This window comes from Homo sapiens, chromosome 20, assembly GCF_000001405.40.
Source record: "Homo sapiens chromosome 20, GRCh38.p14 Primary Assembly".
In the NCBI taxonomy this organism is placed as follows: Eukaryota; Metazoa; Chordata; class Mammalia; order Primates; family Hominidae; genus Homo; species Homo sapiens.
In genome coordinates, this window is record NC_000020.11 from 21,075,789 (window position 1) to 21,084,036 (window position 8,248).

Here is an 8,248-nt window from a genome sequence, read left to right on the forward strand (position 1 = left end):
CGGCTCACTGCAATCTCTGCCTCCCAGGTTCAAGCGGTTCTCCTGCCTCAGCCTCCTGAGAAGCTGGGATTACAGGCACATGCCACCATGCCCAGCTGATTTTTATATTTTTAGTAGAGACAGGGTTTTGCCTTGTTGGCCTGGCAGGTCTCGAACTCCTGGCTTCAAGCGATCCGCCCGCCTTGGTCTCACAAAGTGCTGGGACTACAGGTCTGAGCCACTGCGCCTGGCCTTAATTACCTCTTTAAAGGAGCTATTTCCAAATACAGTCACACTCCGAGGTACTGGGACTTGGGCTTTGACCTATGAATTTTGGGAGAACACAAATCAGCCTACAACAGCAGAATGTTTACAAACTACAAATATTCTAACCCAAGACGTTCTTGCTGGAAGACTGACAACGGGCTTGACTACATGAACATCTTAAGGGTGTCCTTTGGTGGGGACCTACACTGTCCAAAATGGTAGCCAACAGCTATGTGTGGCTACCATGTTCAATAGCCAATGTGACTGTTGAACACTGACATGTGGTGAGAAACCGAATTTTAACTAATTTAAACTTAAAAACTAAAGAAGGGTAAAACTATTTTTCTGCTGAAGACAGCTTTATTGGGTTGGTAGAAACACATTTAATTGCAATCATTACAAATTTAGTGTCTGGATAGAGATGTGATAAAAATGTAAAATACACACTGGAATTCAAAGACTTAGAATGAAAAAAGTGAAATATTTAATAATTTGTATATTGATTATATGTTGAAATGAAAATACTTTTAATGTGTTGAGCTAAATTAAATATATTAATAAACTCAATTTCACCAGTTTCTTTTCTTTTTTTAATAATGTGGCTACTGGATAATTTTAAATGACAGGTCTGGTTTGCACTATATTCCTCTTGAACAACATTGGGTTAGAGCTTTAGCTCATTGCTCACCAAAAGTGGGTCAGCAAATACCCTAAAATATGCATTCCTTTTGCCAAAAAGATTAAAGTTCCAGGTTCTTTTGTGTCCTCTGTACAAAGATTAAGATAACTGAAACCAACCATTTATTCTTGGATACTAATATATTATTAAATCTCCCATTACTTGCCATATTTGTAAGTTTTCTCAATAATATTTTCAACATTAAAATCTTGTTAAAGATACCTATATATAAGAATCAGAAATAATTTTCCATGTAATGAAATGATTCTTTCTTATAAATCAATCCTTCTATGCTGGTGCCCTGGTTTCTTTTTTTTTTTTTTTTTTTCCCAAAATGCCCTGGCTTAATTTGTCTTCCCATCCTACTTGCCATTTGTTTTTCTGTCCTCCTGCCTCAGTTGCTAGGAAATTCCTAAGCAAAGCATCTGACGTCTGATGAGGTCCGGCGGCTCACACCTGTAATCCTAGCACTTTGGGAGGCCAAGTAGGGAGGATCACTTGAAGCCAGGAATTCAAGACCAGCCTGGGCAACAAAGCAAGACCCTGTTTCTAAGAAAAATTAAAAAAAATTAATAATTAGCCAAGCACGGTGTCTACTCAAGAGGCTGAGGCAGGAGGATAACTTGAGCCCATGAGTTAGAGGCCGCAGTAAGCTGTGATTGTACCACTGCGCTCCAGCCTGGGCGATAGAACCAGACCCTGTTTCCAAATAAATAAATAAAAGCATCTAATATCCTTTCTTTCTTCTATTTAACACAGGCTGAAAACTCACTCTAATTTCTTCATCTGCAGCATAGAAGAGCAAAGAAAGCCCATGGAGTCTATAGTTATGGTACAACTTTTAGATAGGCCTGACACGGTCAGTGGTGGGACAGTGGGGGTTTTGAAGGGCTGTAGGAATTGAATTCTAAGGTTTTGTAAAAGACTTTGAGGGTGATTTTTGTAAATCACTCTACTTAACATTACAGCATTAAAAAGTAAAGAATTAAAAGTTAAACATTCAAACAAGGTAAAAGATTCAAGATCAGAATAATTGGTTGGTTTTCTCTAACCCTTTCTTAAGCAGCTTAATCCCCAAATGTCATAAAGAACAACTAACAAACAGCAGACGGAACTTCTGGACACCTGACCCCATGACACAGTTCATTATTACCCTCCTGTCAGTCCCCCTTAGCCTCTGATAGGGAATATCTAAAATTCCCTAAATGACCAGAGAATCAGTCTAGTGTCACGTCATCACTCTAAAATATAGGACAAGGGGAACGATCAAAGAGACAGTTTTTGCCTTATCACTTTGTTCTTTCTGGCATCAGTCAGCCTTTAGAATAACGAAATCAATGCAAACATTTGTTGGGAGATGCCTACTTTGAAGATCATTTGCTACCTAACTGTCTTGGTCATTTACATGGAATCCAGGGAGGATTTCAAAGATTCTCTCTCCCTTGTTACTCAGATAAAAGGAAGACTCAGGTGTTGAGTTTGGTTTTGTGTGTGTGTGTGTGTGTGTGTGTGTGTTTTAATATTTGATAAGGCTTCTATTTCACACTCACAAAGATTCCCATGTGGGTTTTATTTCTTTTTGTCCTTTAATTGAAGTTATGCAGATTGAATCAAACATGACAAATGCATTCAGACCCAAAAAAGGAAAAAATATTTACAGCCAGAAAAGTAACATGTAAGAGTGTGGTTTCCTATAGATAAAGCAAATGTTTTTCAGTGTGTGCAGTAGAAGTAATACATTGCAGAGTGCCTTACATTAGAAAATACAAGAGAAAAAAAGGTTGGTAAACATAGCCAGCAGACAGATATGAAAGATTTACTTACCAAAACTTGGGAGGGGAAGATGAAGAAAGGGTGTACACGAATAAAGTCCTCATCTGATATAACAAGTTCCGTAGAAAATGTGGAAAGAAACAAAATCAAGAACTAGTGGGAGGCCATGTTAATTAGAGTTATGGAGGCAACTACTGGAAAACAGAGAATCAAAGAAAGTTTAAAGTTGTTGAAGGGATTTTGCTTTTCATTGGATGACCTTTGGCACTCTTTGGTTTTCTTTAATACATACACAAGTATTATTTTCAGAATATCTTTCCATTTGAGAAATAACAATCTGAACTCTGCATTTACATCTCTCATTTACTTCTCACCCACTGTCATCTGCCTCACATTCCCCAACCCATTACCCTCCCCTTGCCTAAAACACCCATCCTCTTTCTTTTCCTCTTTCCATCCCACCATGCTTCCCTTGCAAACCACCAGAAGACTTTCATAACGTCACTCAATCTGCTGTCTCGAATGACCTCTTAATTAGCAAATCCAAGGGACACTATTCAAGTGTGTTCCTCAAGGCCCTATCCTCTCTCCTTTTCTCTTTTCATTCTATTCACTCTCCATGAGCAATATCATCCTTACCCATGTATGTAACCTTACATCTATGTTGATGGCTACTAAACCAGTCTGTCTTCTCCATAGTATTAGTTATCTACCAACAGCCTGGTGAACATTACAGATGATAGGATTGGCCCTTCAAACTCAATCTGTCCAAATCTCAAGTCTCCATCTTTTCTTCTCCAATCTGCTCTCACTCTACATTTGCTGTTTTGGTAAATAGGTCCTACCCTGTTACCTAAGCCAAAGACTAGAGAGTTATCCTAGATTTATGCATCTCACTCATGAAACACTGGAGACAAACTCATTAAAACATATAGGACTCACAGATAGGAAACCTGTAAAAAAGAAGACATTCAAGAAGTACCATGCATTTAAGAAAAATAAAAACCATAAAACAGAAGAGGCAAATTCAAGAAGCAAAAGAACAAACACCTGAAGAAAAGAAATGTTTGTCTTCATTCACAAATGATATGATCGTATACGTTAAAAATCAAAAAAGTCTACAAAAATTTACTAGAACTAATGAATAAATAGAATAAAGCAGTTGGATACAAGGTGAATATGTAAAATTAATTTTATTCTGTATATCAGCAACAAACAGGTGGAAAATAATTTGTAAATGCCATTTATAATAGTATCAAAAACATTAAATGCCTGGGAATGAATGTAACAAAATATGTGCAAGACATTTACACTACTATAAAGTACTACTAAAAAATCTAAAGATCTAAATAAATGGAGAGATATACTATTTTCATGGAGTGGCAAACTCAATATTGTAGATAGCAATTCACCCCCAAACTGAGCTATTAAATCACCATGATTCTAATCAAAACCCTAGCAAGCCTTATTTTAGAAATCAACAAGTTGATGTGGAAATGCAAAGGCACTAGATTAGCAAAGACAATCATGAGAAAAAAAACAAAGCAGGAGGACTTATACTACTAGCAGAGTTTAAGACTTATTACAAAGCTGCATGAATTAAAACAGCACATCTATGCCAAGAAAAAACAAAACAAAGCAGTGTATCTGTGCAAAGACATATAGATAGATCAAAGTAATAGACTAGAGGCAAAAAATAGACCCATAAAGTCAATTAATTTTTTTTTTTGAGACAGAGTTTTGCTCTTGTTGCCCAGGCTGGAGTATAATGGTGCAATCTCGGCTCACTGCAACCTCCGCCTCCTGGGTTCAAGCGATTCTCATGCCTCAGCCTCCTGAGTAGCTGGGATTACAGGCATGTGCCACCATGCCCGGCTAATTTTTGTATTTTCGTTTTTTTTTTTTTTGGAGAGACTTGGTTTCTCCATGTTGATCAGGCTGGTCTCGAACTCCTGACCTCAGGTGATCCACCTGACTCGGTCTCCCAAAGTGCTGGGATTACAGGTGTGAGCCACCACACCCAGCCTTCAATTGATTTTCAATGAAGATGCTCAACAACTCAAAGGGAAAAGAAAAACATTTTCAATAAATAGTATGGAGAAATTTGAATTTATATCTTAAAAATGAAACTTGACCTCCTACCTCACACCATTCACACAAAAAAAATTAAGATAAATCATAAACCTAAATGTGAAAGTTAACATATAAAGTTCCTAAAAATATATAGGAGACTATCTTCATGATCTTAGAGTAGAGAAATATTTTTTAAGGCACAAAACTTTAAAGACCATTAGAGAAAACATCTAATAAATTAGACTTCATGAAAATGTAAAATTTTACTCATAAAAAAAAAAAAACACCATTAGCCAGGTGCAGTGGTGCACACCAGTAGTTTCAACTACTCAGGAGACTGAGGTGGGAGGATCTCTAGAGCCCAGGAGTTTGAGGCCAGACTGGAAAACAGTGAGACTCTGCCTGGAGAGAAAAAAAAAACAAAACACTATTAATATAGTGAAAAGGCAAGCCACTCACTGGGAAAAAATACTCTCAACCTGTGTTTCTAACAAAAGATTCACATACGTAATTTACAAAAACTCCTGTAAATCAAGAAGAGAAAGTCAAACAACCCAATTCTTAAAATGGACAAAAGACTTGAACAGGTACTTGCAAAATAATATATCCAAATGGATAATAAATATATGAATAGGTGTTCAATACAATTACTCATCAGGGAAATGTAACTAAAGACCACAATAACATCACTTGAGATGCTGAAAATTCTGATACATACCACAATATGAATGAATCTTGAGGACATTATGCTAAGTGAAATAAACCATTCACACAAAAGACAAATACTGTATGATTACTCTTATATGAGGTACCCACAGTAGTCAAATTCATAGAGACAGGAAGTACAATGGTGGTTGCCAGGACCCGGGGGGAGAGGGAAATGGGCAGTTATTTTTTGTGGATGCAGGGTTTCAATTTTGCAAGATAAAATGAGTGCTGGAGAGGGATGGTGGTGATGGTTGTAACCGTATTGAGAGATGATGGAACGTTAAGGTATTTGGGTCATGAGGAATCCACCTTCATGAAGGGATAAATGTAGCGTCTCAGGAGTGAATGAGTTTTCACTCTCATGGGACTGGATTGGTGGCAGCAAGAGCAAGTTGTTAAAAGTGAGGTTGTCGGGCATGGTGGCTCATGCCTGTAATCCCAGCAGTTTGGGAGACCAAGGCAGGAGAATCGCTTGAGCCCAGGAGTTCGAGACCAGCCTGGGCAACATTGTGAGAGGTAGTTCCTATAAAATAAAATAAAATTAGCCAGGCATGGTGGTGCATGCCTTTGGTCCCAGCTATTCAGGACGGGGAAGCAGGAGGATCACTTGAGCCCAGGAGTTTGAGGCTGCAGTGAGCCATGATCACATCACTGAACTACAGCCTGGGTGACAGAGCAAAACTCCACTCAAAAAACAATAAGAAGAAAATAAAAATAAGTGTGGTTGCCTCTGATGTTTTGTCCTCTTTGCATGCACACACTTCTGTTTCCACTTCTCCACCACGTTATGATGCGGCACATGGCTCTCAGCAGACACTGACCAGATGTGGCCACCCAATATTGGATTTCCCAACCCCAGAATCATGAGCTAAATAAATATTTTTCATTTATAAATTACCCAGTCTTAGATTTTCTGTTATAGCAACACAAAAATGGACTAAGACAGCCCACTTTACAGCAAAAATGATGCAGCAGTAGTTTCATGCCCAGGGGGTCTACGAGTCCTGCTGCATTCAACACCAAGAGGAAGCTGCCAGCCTGATCAATGAGTTATATCACCTGCTCAAGGCAAAGCCAATGTGCGGGCTGAGAGATAAACATCTTACCAGGATGAGGCTGTTTTCCAGAATATGGCACACAGCCTAAGTCAATGACCCTTATATGGTACTGTGTCCCCACTAGATGAAATAAATAGATTTTGGGACCAAGGGCTGAATATAGAAGTAGCCTCACATATCATCACTTCCAGTGATTTGTTTAGAAATACGTGCTTCTCATGTCTTCAAACCTAGTTTCCGTGGGTGTAGACATTCTGCTACCCAGAAGGGGAACACTTCCACCAGAGGATGTAAGTATATCATTAAACTTTATAGCTGTGAATGCCAACTGTGGGCTCCTCATGTCAAGAGACCAGCAAGCAAGGACTGGAGTCACCATTTTGGAAAGCATCAATTAACCCTGATCATCATGAACAGACAGGGCTGCTGGTAAGCAGTGAGGGCCGGGAGGAATGTGTGCTGCATCCACTGAGTGCCTCTAGGCGTTCCCTTGCCCAGTTGTAATGGTAAATGGACAAGCATAGCAGCCACAGTCACAGAAGGGCATGGAGACCAGAGGCTCAGACTCCTCAGGGACAAAGATCTGGGTCACCCCAACAAGGAAGTTTCCTAGACCAGGACAGGTACTGGCTGAGTCTGAGGGAAATCTAGAATGAAGAATGGGGGAAGGAAAAGATGAGTATCAGCTTCAGTCCTAAGTTAGCTACATTACTAGGAGCTATAGTTCATCCCACTAACTTTCCTCTTGTAAGTTTCCCCAGGAAAAAACATTGAGAAACATGGAAGGCTGAATTTACATGCAGCAAGCAGAACTGAGAGGCACAAACCCCATTCTATAGAGGACGCTAGGACACTACCCAGATTCCTGCTTCAGGACGGGTGCATGCACTGCATGGGTGGACTGCATTTTGCCTCCTTAGGACTTACTTTTGGGTCCCTCTCCAGAAACAGCTCTTAGCTGATGGCAGCTGCCTGGCCCAAGCTTCAGCCCCTCTTTGAGGACAATGTACATCCAATGATCACTCACTGCAAGGGTACAACGTGAAAGGCTGCTGGACTACAAATCTAAGCATATTCCTTTGAGACAGTATCAATGCACTGAGATATACAGAAGCTCATTCATTTAGCAAATATTAAGCATAGACTACGGGTCTAAACTATTTCAGGAGCTTGATATATATCAGTGAACTAAACACAAGAATTCCTGCCCTTCTGGAGTTTACATTCTAGTGGGAAGAGATATAGTAAACAATATACATAATAAAGTAAATTATGGCCGGCGCAGTGGTTCACGCCTGTAATCCCAGCACTTTGGGAGGCCAAGGCAGGTGGATTACTTGAGGTCAGAAGTTCGAGACCAGCCTGGCCAACATGGTGAAACCTTGTCTCTACTAAAAATACAAAAATTAGCCGGCTGTGGTGGGCGGGCACCTGTAATTCCAGCTACTCAGGAGGCTGAGGCATGAGAGTCACTCAAACCTAGGAGGCAGAGGTTGCAGTGAGCCAAGACCACACCCACTTGTACTCCAGCCTGGGTGACAGTGAGACTCCATCTCAAAAAAAAAAAGAAAAGAAAGAAAGTAAATTATATGGTATGCTATGAAAAGAAAAAGAGCACAGATAAGAAAGATGAGGGGCACTGAGGAATGGTGGATGGCTGCAACTTTAAAATGGGTTGTCCAGGTAGATCTCTTTGAGAAGATGACTTGAA